The sequence below is a fragment of the Homo sapiens genome, chromosome 14 (genome assembly GCF_000001405.40).
Source record: "Homo sapiens chromosome 14, GRCh38.p14 Primary Assembly".
NCBI lineage: Eukaryota > Metazoa > Chordata > Mammalia > Primates > Hominidae > Homo > Homo sapiens.
Window position 1 is genome coordinate 24,318,298 of NC_000014.9, and position 17,030 is coordinate 24,335,327.

At 54.6% G+C, this 17,030-nt stretch overlaps 1 protein-coding gene across 3 annotated transcripts, besides 4 other annotated features; it reads right to left on the reverse strand.

Moving 5' to 3' along the window:
- Positions 1-61: 61 nt before the first annotated feature.
- On the reverse strand, positions 62-16,774 carry ADCY4 (adenylate cyclase 4). Of its 3 annotated transcripts, none has more exons than NM_139247.4 (26): positions 16,687-16,774; positions 16,197-16,381; positions 14,494-14,691; positions 14,225-14,386; positions 13,491-13,640; positions 12,911-13,059; positions 12,721-12,832; positions 11,871-11,998; positions 11,563-11,721; positions 11,104-11,236; positions 10,764-10,937; positions 8,002-8,045; positions 7,782-7,868; positions 7,521-7,590; positions 7,080-7,177; positions 6,010-6,094; positions 5,765-5,902; positions 5,047-5,157; positions 4,607-4,791; positions 4,327-4,411; positions 3,769-3,927; positions 1,445-1,591; positions 1,032-1,139; positions 801-915; positions 357-481; positions 62-271 (listed from the first exon to the last, which is right to left on the reverse strand). In NM_139247.4, the coding sequence occupies exons 2-26, from the start codon at positions 16,353-16,355 to the stop codon at positions 119-121; spliced, it is 3,234 nt and encodes a 1,077-aa protein (NP_640340.2). In that variant the 5' UTR covers positions 16,356-16,381; positions 16,687-16,774; the 3' UTR covers positions 62-118. The 3 variants fall into 3 exon arrangements, with proteins under 3 accessions (NP_640340.2, NP_001185521.1, NP_001185497.1); NM_001198592.2 differs by having other exon boundaries at positions 16,197-16,385; NM_001198568.2 differs by having other exon boundaries at positions 16,197-16,774.
- Positions 3,315-4,274: an enhancer, noted in NCBI's record as "H3K4me1 hESC enhancer chr14:24790818-24791777 (GRCh37/hg19 assembly coordinates)". NCBI's record gives its function as "activates a minimal SCP1, AML or CMV promoter by ChIP-STARR-seq in naive H9 embryonic stem cells {active_cell/tissue: H9 hESC(naive)}" and the evidence as "EXISTENCE:reporter gene assay evidence [ECO:0000049][PMID:30033119]".
- Positions 15,411-15,510: a silencer, noted in NCBI's record as "silent region_5637". NCBI's record gives its function as "represses an Ori minimal core promoter by ATAC-STARR-seq in GM12878 lymphoblastoid cells {active_cell/tissue: GM12878}" and the evidence as "EXISTENCE:reporter gene assay evidence [ECO:0000049][PMID:35858748]".
- Positions 16,171-16,330: a silencer, noted in NCBI's record as "silent region_5638". NCBI's record gives its function as "represses an Ori minimal core promoter by ATAC-STARR-seq in GM12878 lymphoblastoid cells {active_cell/tissue: GM12878}" and the evidence as "EXISTENCE:reporter gene assay evidence [ECO:0000049][PMID:35858748]".
- Positions 16,401-16,480: a silencer, noted in NCBI's record as "silent region_5639". NCBI's record gives its function as "represses an Ori minimal core promoter by ATAC-STARR-seq in GM12878 lymphoblastoid cells {active_cell/tissue: GM12878}" and the evidence as "EXISTENCE:reporter gene assay evidence [ECO:0000049][PMID:35858748]".

Below are 17,030 nucleotides of genomic sequence, written 5' to 3' on the forward strand. Positions count from 1 at the left end.
ATTCCCACTGAAGGGCAATGAGAAGGTGATCCCCAGCTATATCAGCAGCTTCAGACATCAATGGGCTCCAGACACCCCAGAGTCTCTTTATTGAGGTTCTTAGAAGGCGAGTGCAATCTCAGCCTAGGGTAGCTGAAGGAGGTCCAGTTCGTGTCAAGTCTGTGTTCAGGAAGTAGGTGCAGAGCTGCCCTTTGCCTTTCACCTTGATGACACCCCGGCTGTAGCAGGTGTAGCCCAGGGACTGTAGGGCCCATGCTGTCTCCTCAGTCACCTACAATTGGAGGGGGGCGAGGGAATATGGAGGTGGCCCTATTCTTAGTCCCCCTCCCCCTATGCCTCCAATGTGGTTCCCTCACTTGGATTTTGCCAAGGACTCCTGTACTCTCCATGCGGCTGGCCACGTTCACTGTGTTGCCCCAAATGTCATATTGCGGCTTCTGGGCCCCAATAACTCCAGCTACTACGGGTCCATGGTTCAACCCTAATGAGGGATGTGGTAATGACAGACTTGGAGAAGGAAGAGGGGAAGAGGAAGCCACAAGGAACTGGAAGGAAGGGAGAAGAGCCTGGGGGGCCCTAGAGGAGAGGAGGGGTCTCTAAGGGCTGGAGGAATGTAGCTTAAGAAAAAGAGTGGGAGAGCCTCGTACCTCCTTGCCCAGCACCTTCACACCCCATCCCAGGGAGTGAGTCAGGAAAGGGGCTTCAGGATGAACTGGGAGCAGCTAACAAAGGACTTGGAGTGGGGCAAGCTCAGGAAGGTGAGGAGGTACCAGACTGCTGCAGCAGGGGAAGTCTCTCACCCACTCGCAGGCGGAAGTTGTTGAATGAATGCTTGTTGATGACGTCCAGCTTAGACCCCAGGGCCACGGCAAATTCCACCATAGTGCCAAGGTGGCTGCAGCTCCGTTCAGCATCCTGGCAATGGGCCCGCCCACCAGGGTGGGCCAGTGAGGGCACAGGAATAAGTCCCACTAATAAGCCCATCAATGAGAGCCCAGAGGAGGATGGTAGGTAAGGAAGGGTTGCCGTACCTGTTGTGCATCCTGTCCAGAGGTGGCATTTAAGCCTGTGGCTGCCATGTAGGTGCTGCCGATGGTCTTGATCTTCTCCACCCCACTGAACTTGGGCTTGGAGAGCAGCTGTATATAGAGAAGAGTCCTGTCCCCAGTCTCTCTTACTCTCTCCATCACCTCTCCCAGAAGCCCAGCCCCAAGCCTTTGGAGTTAAAGGATCAGGCTGTGGGAGTGGAGATAGTGTCAGGAAGGAGAGGGTTGGTGGTGGGCAGTGTTGCTGGAGTGGGTAGATCTGGGGGATCAGAGGAGGTGAGGGAGTACTGTGGAGGGGAGGATTGACTTCATGGCCAGAAAAGCAAAGTGGAAGGAGGTACTGGTGGAAAATTCTAGAATCTAGGACATAGGGTCTGGGAGACTCTTGGAATTTTCACCTCATCAAAATCAGCAATTATCTCATTGAGCAGCCTCAGACACTCTAGGCCCTCATGATTGATGTTGGATTCAGAGTAGAACTCCTTGAAGTCTGGGACTGAGGCGAAGAGGACACAAACGCATTCATAGGACTGGTGGTAGAGATCCTGGGGGAACAGGAGACTGGAGTGAGGGGTGTGTGTCATGTTCCTCTCCCTTCTAGAGGTCTGCGTGGGGCCCTCCTCCCCATGTCCACACTCCTGGTCTCCCTGTTTAAGAAGAATTGGGAAGGAGGGAGAGGAGTAGGGCCAGGCTACCCCAGGGAAGTGACTTAGGAGTCAAAGCTTAGATCTCATTGTAATTCTAGAAGAGACAGAGGTTTGGCGTTAGGATCACCTCACAGCAACACGAAGGGAGTCACTCCTAGAACTGGGATCCTGTCAATGTGAATTATTTCTATATCCTATCTTATTGCTGAAAGGTGTTTAAGTCAATTAAGCCGGCTACAAAACCAAGGGTAAAATGTGTTTAAGTGTTTAAGTCAGTTAAGATAGGTACAAAATGAAAGATGAAGTAAGCAACAATAGGGACTATGAGGCAAAGGGAAAATAAGGGTAAGATAATAAAGATGGAATCAGATCTGAGGGTGGTTCACAAAATGAGTGCCATGAAATCCTATTTAGTCTTAGATTTTGGCTCTCAGCTTTCTAGCAGCCAAAGTGAAGAGAGAAAAGGATCGATTACAAGATTCCTTGTGTCTGTAAGAGAAGAAACCAGAAAAGAACTACTGATCTTGAGAGCAGGGAGCAGGCGGTGGGGGCATAAGGCTGTGAAAGAGCTCCTGAGCTGTTTCTTTTAACATCCCTCAATATGAGCCAAGAGCATTTCCACAGCAGAGGGCCAGCAGATGATACAAATAAGATGGTACAAATATGTGGGTGAATTTCTGATGGTTTGGCGCTAGCAAGATTTTTGAGGATCTAGAGCAGCAGCATCCAATAGAAATTTTTGCAATGGAAACATTCCCTATGTGCAGTGTCCAATAGGGTGGCCACTAGCTACGAGTGGCTGTTGAGCCCTGGAAATGTGGCTGGTGCAACTGAGGAACTGAATATTTTATTTTAATTAATTAACATTAAAATTTCATATGGCTAATGGCTACCATATTGGATAGTGCAGGTCTAGAGAGAGGGGTGGACTGTATCCTCTAGACCAGCAGTCCCCAACCTTTTTGGACCCAAGGATGGGTTTCATGGAAGACAAGTTTTCCACGCACCCAGGCTGTGGTGGGGGATGGTTTTGGGATGAAACTGTTCTACTTCAGATCATCAGGCATTAGTTATTAGGTTGGTGCAAAATTAATTGCATTTCTTTTTTTTTTTTTTTTTTGCCATTAAAAGTAATTACTTTTAGGCCGGGTGCGGTGCGCCTGTAATCTCAGCATTTTGGGAGGCCAAGGTGGGTGGATCACCTGAGATCAGGAGATCGAGATCAGCCTGACCAACATGGTGAAACCCTGTCTCTACTAAAAAAAAAAAATATAAAAAAAATTAGCCAGGCATGGTGGCAGGCGCCTGTAATCCCAGCTACCTGGGAGGCTGAGGCAGGAGAATTGCTTGAACCCAGGAGGCGGAGGTTTCAGTGAGCTGAGACCGTGCCATTACATGCACTCCAGCCTGAGCGACGAGAGTGAAACTCTGTTGCACTCCAGCCTGAGCGACGAGAGTGAAACTCTGTTGCACTCCAGCCTGAGCGATGAGAGTGAAACTGTGTCTTAAAAAAAAAAAAAAGTAATTACTTTTAATTATATTACTTTTAATGGCAAAAACTGCGATTAATTTTGCACCAGCCTAATAGATTTTCATAAGGAGTGTACAACCTAGACCCCTTGCATGTGCAGTTCACAATAAGGTTCAAGTTCCTATGAGAATCTGATGCTGCTACTGATCTGACAAGAGGCAGAGCTCAGGCGGTAGTGCTGGCTCACCGCTCACCTCCTGCTGTGTAGCCCAGTTCCCAACAGGTCATGGACTAGTATCAGTCTGCGGCCTGGGGGCTGGGGACCCCTGCTCCAGACAGCTCCCATCAACGCCTAGGCTTCTGGAATGTATGGAATGGTCATGAGTTAGAGAAGACATGCCTTCCAAGTAAGAATTTGAAATGCAGTTTTGTGCTCACCAAAGAAAGAATCTAAGATGTTGTGAAAACAAAGACGCTTGACAAGCACAAGGGCTTGGGTGACCCTTCTGGGGGTTCTAGAGAAAACGGGCCATAGGTCAAGGCTTTCATCTGAAATTAGGCCCTATGGCATCCGTGGCTCAGGAGTCAGGGGGTCAGGAGTCACCTCGTTGCGCCGGTTCTGGCCAATGAACTGGGGGGCCACGTGTGCAGGGAGCACGTTCTCCAAGAGCAGCCGAGTCAGGTTCTCCATCGTCTCTGTCTCCTCCCTCTCCTGCCTCAGCTTCTTCTTCCACAGGAAGTCCAGGCGGCAGTAGTACTCATTCTGGGGAGGGTCACCCGGGGCCATGGGGAGACACAGAGCAGGGGAAGCCCAGCTCCTGAGTGTTCAGCCCCAACTCCATGATGCCTGAAACCACCCCCACCCCACCCCCAGTTTAGAAGTAGAGCTTAAGGTGTAAGTATACTTGGAGAGAGACTATCCTTGAAATTAGATTCAGACTAGGGATAGAGAATTGGCAGCAGACTTTTTCTAAAGCATGGGCTTTCCCAGATAGGGGTGTGGGAGAAAGGAGGGGCAGGGAGTGAAGGAGAAGAAAGGAAGCAGGAAGGCTCGCTTAGAAGCTTCCAATGGGCATTCAACCCTGGAGATTAGAAAGATCAAGTCACAGATATGGGGGCCACTCATAGGTGGGCCCTGGTGGGGCTGAGCTGGGTGACTTACCTGGCGAGCCAGGACAAGGAGGGTGAAGAAGAAGATGAAGAAGGAGATAGCACCCATCAGTTTGGGCTCCTTCAGCACTCCGGGCCTGAAGGGGCCATGGATCAGGGTGACCCCTTGCTTTCCCCCTTCCTGGCCTTCTCCCTGCCCCCATGTAGGCCTCCGCTTCCCTCCCACTTTGCCCTGTGGGTGATTCAGGTCGGTGAGGCCAGGACAGCTCTGCTGTATCCCATCTCACCCCATCCCAGGGGGCCCGGCACCTCTGTCCAGCAGCTGTGCACACCTGGAGTCCAAGGGGCCCAGATAGAGGCGGACGATGAGGCATTCCGACAGCCAGGCATGGGAGTGCAGGAAGAGGGAGCAGGATGCCGCCAGCCACAGCAGGAGCAGCAGCAGCTTCAGCTCGAAGCTCATGTGCAGAAAGAGGGAGCAGGAGAGGAAGCCCAGCGTGCAGCAGTGCATGGAGTACTGTGGGGCCAGGCAGGGGTCAGGAGTGGGCATGTCCCATAGGCAGAGGGGGGACACCTGAGGGCTCCCTTCCTGTCCCTCCCAGGCCCAGGTCCTATCTGGGAGACAGGGGGCATCATACACACTGATACACACTGGGTGTGACTTATGTCTGTTCTAATCCACAGAATGGAGCGTTCCTCCACTCAGGGGGCTGTGGGCTTGGGCTGAGGAAGGGTGTGCAGAAGGAGATTAAGGGCATGTGGGAACACTCACTGGGACACTGATGAGAGGCAGAGACCCAGGGAGCTCCCAGGAGAGGTTGGAAATCATGGAGGACACATTGGGAGCTTGGAAAGGGCAGTCTGATGATGTTGGGAAGAAGAACTGCAGAGGAGATGAGGAGTTGAAGAGGCAGGTAGCTTCTTGGGCACAGTGGTGGCTTGTGCTGGGTTTCAGCTGACCCAGGGATGAGTCAGGGGAAGACTCGTCCAAAGGGGTGGATCCTGCTATTTCTGGTTGGGAAGGGAACCTCAGCACTGGGGTCCTCACTCGGGGAGGAGTTATGTGAGGGGCGTCAAGAGTACTCCTCTGACTCTGAGCCACTGTGTGAGCTCTTGCCAGCCACTTAGCCTCTCTGGGCCTTAGTTTCTTCTTCTGTAACTTGGCTGGTGGGTGATTCCCAGGTGCCCACCAGGAATAGAATTCTAGGAATGAGTCTAAATCCTGAAGAATCAGCCAAGTGATCTAAGTAATAAGTAACTGCCTACACAGAAAAAAGATAAGAAGGACATTCACCGAAGTGTTATCAACAACTATTATGCCCAGATGGTAGATTGCTGGAGACTGTAATTTTTTTCTTTCTATTTGTACAACATTTCCAGCATCCCCTGGGCTTAGTCCAGCTGCCTGCCCAAATCCAGGGGTTCCCTTTCAGTCCCTGGCAGGTCCAACATGCCCTCATGGGGGTGGATAGGGCCCCCTCTGTCCTCACCAGGCTGGTAATGGCCATGGCAAAGACAAGGAGGATGGTGGCGGTGCCCAAGGCTATTCTCAGTCCTGGTCGTGTGGCCACCAGGCCAGACAGTGCAGGCAGCCAGTGCAGCATCTTGGGGCCTTTCAGGACACACCTCTGTGGAGGGAGCATGGGCATCTTAGCCACGGGGCTGGGGCACCCTCTTCAGGACAGGTTGTGACCAGGGCTCCGGCATACCACTTCCACCCCTCAGCCCACCTCACCATCAGGTCCTCTGAGAAGCAGACAAAAAGGATGAGGAGGAAGAGGAGGAAGGTGATGCTATACGTGATGGCCAGAGCTGGGGGCCTGAAGGGAGACAAAAGCGAGGCCTTGAAGTGCCAGAACAGGCTCCCTGTGTGCTATGAAGGTGCTGTGTGAGCTGGGTGGGAGATAGGGGAAGTGGTTCTGGGGAATCTGGGTTGGCTGGCGATGGGGTCCCGGCTGATAGAAGACATTGCATTCTGATGATCTGGGTTGGCTGGCTTAAGGGTCTAGAGCAGTGTCGAGGTGGAACAGGGACCCATATGGTGGGGAGTGGGGGCTCACAAGAATGGCTGAGGCTACGGCAGACTGATCTCTGGGCCTTTAGCCCAAAGCTCTTTAACTTGGCTGAGTTTTTTTTTTTTCTTTTTTTTTGAGGCGGAGTCTCGCTCTGTTGCCCTGGCTGGAGTGCAGTGGTGTGATCTTGGCTCACTGCAAACTCCGCCTCCCGGGTTTGAGCGATTCTCCTGCCTCAGCCTCCCGAGTAGCTGGGATTACAGGCGCCTGCCATCTCACCCAGCAAATTTTTGTATTTTTAGTAGAGATGGGGTTTCACCATGTTGGCCAGGCTAGTCTTTCACTCCTGACCTCAGGTGATCCACCTGCCTCAGCCTCCCAGAGTGCTGGGATTACAGGCGTGAGCCATCACACCCGGCCACCTGGCTGAGTTAAGAACAAGTCCTCATCCCTCCTAGCAGTGGACTAGGAATGAGGGCCTACTTTCTAAGCTCATGCATTTGCTGCCAGATTTGGGTTTCTCAATGGAAACAAACTGGCCTTCATGGGGATGTTGTTAGAATCAAAAGAGATGCTCATGGGAAAATGCTAGGGCTGTGTAGAAAGTCCACAGGATCTACAAGGTTAAGATAAGGGCCGTGATTATCATTTTCCCCAGAACACATGTTTCCTCTGTGGGTAAGTGCCTGAAGCTAAGGGGAAGGGGTGAAGGAAGAAAGTGTGGCCCGGGGTCATGAGGGCAAGGTGATCCGCTTATGACAGCCAGGGCCTCCTTTGCCTGGGGCACTCTCACCTGTTTGTCACTAGCATCTGGATGATGAAGTTGGAGAGAAAAACCAGGAAGGTGCAGGCTTCATAGTATTTGAAGGCGGGGATTGCAGAGAGTCGGTACTGAAAGTGAGAGGGCCAGAGGTGGAGACAGGGTCCAGTGCTACCCATCACCTTGAAGGCATCACTCCCAGGCAAGGGGTGGGCTCCTCAGCCTCACCGCCCAGGCTCCAGTTCAGTTCCATGTAGACCCTACCAGTTCTCCAAGGAGTTACCCTCCTTCCTCCCCCTACCATCTAGTAGCTCAGTCTACAGAGTGACTTTCCTTTAGAGAGAGGCACAAGCTCCTCACCCCTAGGATCACAAACTGAGCAGACTTGGGGAGGAGACCCAAGGGCTGACCCCTCCCCAGCACCAAGGAACTAAAGTTGGGAAGTTGTTTGGTGCCACCCACACCACAGCCCACCTCTTTCTCCATCTCCTTCTCTCTGAAGTACAGTGTCAGTGGGTTGAAGTCCTTCGACTGCTTCCACTGTCTGGTGGGAGGTGGGAGGGTGGGTGAAAGCACCAGAGAACAGAGGGCACAGAAGGGCAGGAAGAGGGCAGAGTGAGGGCAAGAGGGGGTGGTCAGGCGAGTCTTCCCTCCAGCCCCTCAGGGAGCACCATCCCTTCTCCACCATATGACCTCAGGGCCTGCGGCCCCCCCAGCCCTCTTTGTTCTCCGTACTTCTGCGAGTTGAGCTGCTCAATGACCTGGAAGAACTTGGCATCCCCGGTGTCCAGTTCATCATCTAGTCCCCGGGGGGTACGGCTCCTGCACAGTGAGAGCCAAGTCCATCACCACAGAGACCCTCAGAGCGTCTGGGCAAAGCAGGAGCAGACCCCCAGGGAGGATGGAGGGGGTCATCCAGACAGCCCCACTGGCAAAGACTTTGAGGCCTCCTCACCGATCCAGGCTCCACTGGGTGCTGAAGGAAGCCAGGGTCTTCTCCTGTTGGGAGAGCACAGGGGGAGGTGGGCATGGTGGGTGTTTTCCCTGCAGTGAGGTAGACCATGAGCCACACTGCATGCTCTATACATGTCTTTGACCTTGGGCATTTCACTGGGCTCTTTCTTTTGCCTCTAATGACCTCTCTGTCTCCCAAATCCCACCTGCCCTTGAAGGGGAGGTTTGAATCTCCTTAAAGTTTCCCCCTGACTCTCTAGACTCCCAGGATCTTTGTGTGTGTGTGTGTGTGTGTGTGTGTGTGTGTGTGTGTGTGTGACTGAATCTTGCTCTGTCACCAGGCTGGAGTGCAATGGCATGATCTCGGCTCACCACAACTTCCACCTCCCAGGTTCAACCGATTTTCCTGCCTCAGCCTTCCAGGTGGCTGGGATTACAGGCATGTGCCACCACGCCCAGCTAATTTTTGCATTTTTAGTAGAGATGGGGTTTCACCATGTTGGTCAGGCTGGTCTCAAACTGCTGACCTTAGGTGATCCGCCTGCCTCGGCTTCTCAAAGTGCTGGGATTATAGGCATGAGCCACCGTACCTGGCTGGATTTTTTTTTTTTTTTTTGCAACGGAGTTTCGCTCTTGTTGCCCAGGCTGGAGTGCATTGGTGCAATCTCAGCTCACTGCAACCTCCGCCTTCCAGGTTCAAGCAATTCTCTTGCCTCAGCCTCCTGAGTAGCTGGGATTGCAGGCACGCACCACCACGCCTGGCTGATTTTTGTATTTTTAGTAGAGATGGGGTTTCGCCATGTTGGCCGGGCTGGTCTCAAACTACTGACCTCAAGCTATCCATCTGCCTCATCCTCCCAAAGTACTGGGATTACAGGTGTGAGCCACCGTGCCTGGCAAGATTTCTAATATTTGACTGAGCCCCTGGAACTTCAGGGGCTAAGTGGATTTCTGTGCTAGTGAAGGTCCTGCCTCAGGAGACACCCTTGAACAAAGGGTCCTGCTCTTCCACCCTAATACTCCCTAGCCTGCACACCAGTGGAAAGCGGCAGGAGGTCTAGCATGGGCCCCGGCAGGCATTCCTGCTATGTAATTGTACCTAACACCATCTCACAGTCCCTGGGCTTGTAGCAGTCCCCACACACCACTCCACCCATGCTGGAGGTCTCATCCTGCAACAGTCAGCTGAACCTCAGCTTCTTCCTTCCTCTTCCTCCTGCCAGCTTAACCCTCTGACCTCTCCCCTACCTCATGTTAACACTTGGAATTAAGTACTTCCTGCAACCACTGCTGCCAGTGTCCTTCCCCCACTCCCCAGTGTTGGGGGGTTGAAGAAGAGAGCATGCAGTTTCAGGAATTGAGTTAAACAGAGACATTTCCTGGTGCTATGGGTGCACAGCCCTAGAATCAGAGACAGGAGGAAGTGGGGGGTCCAACTGCCTTTGTGGTGTCAGGGGAAGGCACTCTCCTGAGTAGAGGCTGGGGAGTTATGGACATGGTGTGTGGGTGGCAAGCCACCCAGGCACCGAGGCAAGAGACAGAGGACACGAGCAGTTCCAGTATAATAAAATATAAAACAAGAATTGTTATACCAGATATAGATCTTAGATATGATTATATATGAGTATCATTAATCATTAGTGGGTAGCAATTACTTTTTATTCCAATATTATGATAATCCTCACTCAATAATCATAGCCTAGGAAAAACCAGGCCATACAGAGATAGGAGCTGAGGGGACATAGTGAGAAGTGACCAGAAGACAGGAGTGCGAGCCTTCTGTTATGCCTGGACAGGGCCACCAGAGGGCTCCTTGGTCTAGCGGTGACGCCAGCATCTGGGAAGACGCCCGTCACCAAGCGGATCATGGTCCAGCGGTAGCAAAAGGTGTCAAGAAACAACACCAGCTACTTAGCAGACCGGGAAAGCGGGGTGGGGGGGGGGGTCTCCCTTTCCCTGGGGGAGTTTAGAGAAGACTCTGCTCCTCCACCTCTTGTGGAGGCCCTGACATCAGTCAGGCTCACCCACAGTTATCCGGAGGCCTAACCGTCTCCCTGTGATGCTGTGCTTCAGTGGTCACGCTCCTAGTCCACCTTCATGTTCCATCCTGTACACCTGGCTCTGCCTTCCAGATAGCAGTAGTAAATTAGTGAAAATACTAATAGTCCCTGATATGCAGAAATAATGGTGTAAGCTGTCTTTCTCTTTGTCTCCTCTCCCTCTCTGCCTCGGCTGCCAGGCAGGGAAGGGCCCCCTGTCCAGTGGATATGTGACCCACATGACCTTACCTATCATTGGAGGTGACTCACATTCTTTACCTTGCCCCTTCTGCCTTGTATCCAATAAATAACAGCGCAGCCCGACATTCGGGGCCACTACCGGTCTCCGCGCATTGGTGGTAGTGGTCCCCCGGGCCCAGCTGCCTTTTCTCTTATCTCTTTGTCTTGTGTCTTTATTTCTACACTCTCTCGTCGTCGCACACAGGGAGAGACCCACCGACCCTGTGGGGCTGGTCCCTACAATGGTGTCTGTAGGGATCTTGTATCTTCTCTGAGGTGAGCTGGAGGGCTCTTTCTCTAGAAGGAGGGGCAAGGAAGGGCCTGAACCAGTGACTGGGGTGACAAGACAGTTCGGGACTTTGGGATGTCACAAATCATTAAGTGGCTCACTGGTGGTGGGGGCAGGGAAGGCTGCCAGTGGGGCCTGAGGATACTGGGGGTGGATTTAACTAAGCTCTGGGGCTCAGGATGAAGGTGCACATACCGGGAGAGGGGTGGAGGTGGACACAGGGCTGTCTCCGTGGCTCAGGTGGGCAAAAGGCTTGGCTGCGCCCCAGGACTCCAGGTAACGGGTCATCAGCAGTGATGGACGCATCTTGAGGCCCTCAAGCGAGGACAGCAAGCCTCCTGCAGTGCCCTTCTCATCCTCCTCCTCTGCCTGGGGCACATAAGGGCTGACAGTAAAGACCACAGACACTTCCTCCTTCTCCCTCCACCCCCCACTAGGACCCAGGAACTCAATCTCTGGCACAGAAGAGATCAGGCCTGTTGGCTGTGGGGTGGTTTGTGTAGGCCAGCCCATGGGGTCTGGGCTGGGCTTTTACCCGTGGATCGATGACCAGATAGGTAGGCTCCCCTAGCTCCCGAAGGTAGGGGTCCCGATGCTCCATGCCTGCGTCCTCCACAGCATAAGCCCCTGCCAGCAGGGCCAGGGTAGCCCCTGTGATGTGCACTCGCCTGGAAGGAGGGAGGCAGTAGGGGTCAGCAGGGAGGGCCTTCAAATCTCCTATTTCCTGCCCCATCACCCCCATGGCTCCTAGAACTGACAAACATCTCATGTCTTTTAAAGATCGTTCCTGGATGTCTGACTTCAAGAAAGAGCCTGTGTTACAGGAGGTGCCTCCCAGCTCCCCTCCCTGCACCCTAGGATCTCCCAAGCCCCATATGGGACTTATCTTAAGGTACTCATCTTGTGCTTATCTTAAGGAACTAATGAAAGGATGGCAGCCTGTGGTAGGCCTGGTTGGCCTTCTGCTGTAGCTGCCTAGGGCCCTAGGTCTCACCCTGGTACACCGCCTGCCTCCATGTGGTTAGCCAGTGTGACATCATGTGACCAAACGTCGTACTGCCACTTCTGCAGCCCGATGACTCCACACAGTACGCTGCCTGAGTGCACGCCCACACGCATGTTGATGTCCACGCCAGTGGCTGCCCGCAGTTTCCTGAGCAGTGTGTGTGTGGGACAATCTGAGTCCTACCCTCAGCCCTGCCTGTGAGACACCCCAGATTCTCACAAAGAGGACTTCTGTCAGCTGCCTGCTGCCCCCCACATCCACCCTCAGCATTCCTCTTGACCACCGCCTGAGCTGACCTGATGGCCCGGCACATGTCCAGGCCCATGCGCACGCAGTTGATGGCATGGTCTGGCAGTGAGAGTGGCAGCCCAGAGACACAGTAGTAACAGTCCCCCAGGATCTTGATCCGCATGCATTCATGCTCCTGGGAGTGTGTATGTGGGTGTGCAGAGGAACCTGGTTAGAGGTCAGAAGGGTAGGAGGGAGTTGGGAAAAGTGGGCAGCGAGCGGGGTATTCCTGAAGAACTTCCAAGGTGGGGTAGTGTCTAGATCAGATCTAGGGACTCCTTTCACTTGATATGGGGCTAACTGTCTTTCATACAGATCTCTTTCTCAGAAGAGTTTCCCCAAGGGCTGGATGGCTGTGGCTCTTTCCACTTTTGGCATGTTGAAGGGGGTACCCAGAGTTGAGTACGTGGTAGTGGTCTCAGGATTGAGAGGTTGGGGGGAATCCAAGAATTGGTTGCTTGGAGGCATCCCTGGAGTCTAAGCAGGTTGCTGGGCTGAGGTTGCATAGGGCAGAAATTTCTCTTGGAAGGGCCTCCTAAGGTTAGAATATCAGAACGTCTCTATAGATTTGGTTGTAGTGTCCAGAGACACATATGTGGGGGCTCTGAGCATGTTTGGGGCATTGTACTTGGGACATCTGTGGCGATATTGAGGGATCTCTGTAGGTTTGAGGTGTGTGGTGAGCAGCTTCATGACTGGGAATGTTTGAGAGGGTTTCCTCCTTCCACTGGAATATCTGGGGGCCTGCATGCACTGAAGTGGGCCTGGGATCTTATAAGGTGGGAGTTTCCCTTGGAAGGGGCTACCCAGGATGGGATGTTTGAGGGTCCCTGGGTGGGGAGGGAAGTCTTCTCTGACCTTGGCAATCTGGTCGAACTTGCCAAAGAGCTCATTGAGCATGAGCACCAGCTCCTTAGGGGAACACTCGCTGGCCAGCCGCGTGAAGCCCACGATGTCAGCATACAGCACGCTGCATAGGGCAGACTGTGTCAGCAGGGCCAGGGTCTTAGCCCACAGGCCCCTCCCCTCCAGCCATTCTTCCTCATACCTGACTCCCTGGTGCCTCTTGACATAGAGGCTGTGGAAATTGTTAGTGCTCTCTGGCCGTGACCCCTGTCCTGCCTGCAGCCGTGCCATGATCTCTGCCTTCATCTCTCGGGCCAGGTAGGCAGGAAGGATGGACAAGAGAAGGTGTTCCTGGAAGAGGTCACCATGAACACCAACTCTTCTGCACCCTAAAGCCAGGAGGCCCTGTCCCCCAAATCACTCAGGAGCCCACACTGCCCATCCTAGGTGCTCCCCAGGGTGCTCCCCCAGGTCCTCCCGCTGCACACAGCAGGGCCCCAGCACTCCATCCTACACTGATCACCTTTAGTGACTAAACTCCCAGTATCAACACCTGAATGGGAGTTCACTTAATATCATAATGCTCTAAAGTGCTTTTTATAAGCTTTGGTTTGTTTGAGCCTCACAACCTTCTAAGATGGGCAATACCCACATTTTATACAAAAGAGGAAACAGGTCAAGAAACCTGCCCAGAGTCACTCAACTTGTGGAGGAGCCCCGTTATGTAATCTAAGCAACTCCTCCCTCGGAGCGCTGCTCTGACCTTCCTAGGCCCGGCTGACCTGGTGCTTCTTCTCGGTGTCCAGCCGCCGGCGTGAGTGCAGGGAGCTGAGTGCCTCCCGGAACGTGGCCCGCAGGGCGCGCTCCATCAGCGCCTTGTGGTACACTCCTGCCACGTTCCCGCACAGGAACAGCACTGCGTTTGCTGCCAACTGTGGGTGAAGGCCAGCCTCAGAGGGCGCGGGACCCGGGTGCTTGTCGTGTGTAGTTGGAGTTGGTCTCAAAGACTGGCTGGGGAAGACTGGGCTTTACAGTGAGGGACCTAACTATTGTGGGACAAGTGGTGCCACACTGTGGCATCCCTAGGGACGTTTCCCTTCCCAGATGCTCCCTCCTCCAGACTCTCGGCTGCTTCACCAACACGACCTCTTAGGTCTGGAAACGTTTGCAGGTAGGTTTCTTGTGCTTGGAATACCACTCCACTGTCGCTACCCACTCCCATCGCACAAAACTTTTTTTTTTTTTTTTTCATTCTCTGTCAAGGTTTCATTAACCACATCTGTTGTCCCCGGGGTAAACCACGACACGACTCCCTTCCGTGTGGCCTGGATCCCTCTTCTGGTAACAGCAGGCATTGCATCACACTGTTGTACCAGCTCTGCGAAAGCACGGTTGGGTATCCTGCGCCCAGCGTTGCACCTTGACTTGGAGTCACAGCTCAACAACCCCCTAAAAGGAGCCTACTAGCACGTGGCAGAGCCGTCCTGAGCGCAGCCTGTGCTACTTGCGTGCTCACCTGCGGCAGCAGTGCAGGCCGTGAGTCCGGCTGTGGCCCAAGATACAGCCCGAGGACCAGCAGATGCGAGAGTGAGGAGGCGAGGCCCGCGACGGCGGCGTCCCGCATGCCCAAGGGCAGCATGGCATACGCCGTGAAGATGACGAAGAGAAAATAGGACACCTGGGGGCGGGGCGCGGGAAGCCGAAGGCCCAAGTGGGGCTATTCAAGGCCTGGTGAGGGATCGAAGCCCGGGCCGTCCCCGCTGCCCCGCCTGCCGCCCCTCTCACCTGGTCCCAGGCGCTCACCACGCCCCCGGTGAACAGGAAGGCGTGGCCTAGCGCTAGCAGCGCGACCCATACCAAGCCGGACAGGGGACGCGTCCAGCGCTGCAGTCGCTGCTCCCGGGAAGCGAGGCCCAGCAGCAGCGAGAAGCCGCCCAGCGCGCACAGCACAGTGGTCAGGAAGCTCGGGTCTGAGGTCAGCTCCTGTGGGCAGGGGTGTGTGAGGCAAGATTGTGACAGGGAGAAGGAACGAACCTGATAAAGGAAAAGCCAGCAGCCCAGCCCCTCAGCCCAGTTCTGAAAGGTGTCTCAAGCCTAAGTACGAAAAGGAGGCAAGGCACCTCCGCTTGCCATTCACTTTAGGTTGAACCATTTGAAATTGCTTGTGTCCTACTGCTTTTATCTAGACTCAGCAGTCTCGTATGGTTTTTGTTGGTTGGTTGGTTTGTTTTTTGAGACAGAGTCTTGCTCTGTCGCCCAGGCTGGAGTTCAGTGGCGCGATCTCGGCTTACTGCAACCTCTGCCTCCCGGGTTCAAGTGATTCTCATGCCTCAGCCTCCCGAGTAGCTGGGATTACAGGCTCCCGCCACCACGCCCAGCTAATTTTTTTTTTTTTGTATTTTTAGTAGAAGACAGGGTCTCGCCAAGTTGCCCAGGCTGGTCTCGAGCTCCTGGGCTCAAACGATCTCCCGCCTTGGCCTCCCAAAGTGCTGGGATTACAGGCGTGAGCCACAGCGCCCAGCCTCCTGTTGTCCAACCTATTATCTTGCTGGGACAGCTACCCAGAAGATCTGGCTCCCATCCCCTATTTGTTTCTGAGCCTCAGTTTTCTTATCTGTCAAACGGGAACCAAAGCGTCATGAAGCAAGTGAAAGATAGATCCAAGCTCACAAGGAGGCACTTCGGAATGAATGTCTCCAAATCTGGCCAATTTGCTCGGGAGATTCCCGGAGCCGGGGACCGCGGCCGGCAGCTTGAAGGGCGGCGCGAGGCAGCGCTCGAGCAGCAGGGGGCGCCAGGACCCGCGGCGTCCCGCACCTCCCTGGCCACCAGGGCTGCGATCTCGCCACCTGCCTCAACTCCAAGCAGAAGCTGCACAGCCGTCCCAGCATTTTGTCCCCACCTCTTCCCGGATTTAGGCGTGGACCAGCAAGGATTGGCCGCGCCCGGTGATTTTCCCACCTTGCCTCCAAGCAGTGAAAAGAAAACCAGGGGCAGGCCATTTCTAGAATTGGATTGAAGACCTTCTTCCTCCCCAAACAGAAACTGGACATGGGTTTACTTTGGGACTCAGTGAGAGCCCGGTGGAGGGTGCCTTCTGGGAGTCTGTGGGTACAACTGCTCTACATCCCCTAAGAGGGAGAGAAAGGCAGGAAATGAATTCCCCAGGGGCCTCCTAGAATTTCCCCTTTGGAAAACTGGAAAATCCGGTGATGGATTTATTGTAGAACCCGTAGACCACGGATGTTCATAAAGTCTGTCAGAACCCGGACAGAAACGAGAAGCATCCAGGACTCAGCTTTCTCCCTGAGCAGACCCAGAAGGGTAGAGTGACTTGCCCAGGGTCACTGCAGTTCCTAGCCAGGCTCAATGGTCCTTTCTTTCTCTGCTCCCAGCAACGAAAACACATCGAAAAGAAGACCCCACAAACCCCAACCCCGAAAATGCTCCCCAGGTAGAGACCCTCCCGCAGCAGAGGCTCGGCTCACCCTGCCGCTGGCCCAGGCCACTGCGAGCAGCGCCGCGAGCGCACAGAGCACGATCCCCAGCAGCAGCAGCAGCAGCGGGTACTGCTGGCTCAGGCTGTAGTAGGTCTCGTAGAAGAGGTCTTCGCTGGGGGGCGGCCGGGGGCTGAAGAGGCGGGCCATGATCTCCCCAGCCCCGAGCCCCGGGGCTGGCTAGGGCCGGGCGCCGGGTTACCTCCTTCGGCCCGGCGGGCCCCACCTGAGCTTTTCTCACCCGCTCAAAGCCGCTACCACCCCGCGCCCCCAACCTCGTGGCAATCCCGTCTCCTTTTTCAGGCCCTCCCTGCGGCCTCCCAGCCCGCTCCCAGCTGGCGATGAGGGGATCCCTCAGTCCTTTCCTCCTCCTCCCTCAAACCCGGATTGTAGAGGTGCCCTAGAAAAGCCTCATCGCCAGGAGGGCAGGATTTGGGGTTGGTGCGAGGGAGCCCCGGGTTCCCCTGATCCCCGAACTCACTGCCCGCGGCGCTGGCGCAGCGGAGTGGGCTAGGTCCGGGGAGGGAGCCGGGGACCTGATGGCGGAGTCACGCTCGCCGCTGCGCTCTGGCTCAGAGTCCCGGGCGACAGGCGCTTCCCTCCCGGCGCCGCGGCCCCCTCCCACTTCCCCGACGGGACAGCCCGGCCCCTTCCTGTGCCAAAGCCGGACTCCCCTGGTCTCCTCCCGCACTTGGTTTTGTCTCTCCTAACACCATCGCCTCCCCGCTTCAGCCCCTTCAGGGAAGGGCAATGTGGACCCTGGGAGAGATGCGAAGGGGTGGGCTGGGGTGGACCCAATGGGATGTGTCCAAATGGAGGTGAACG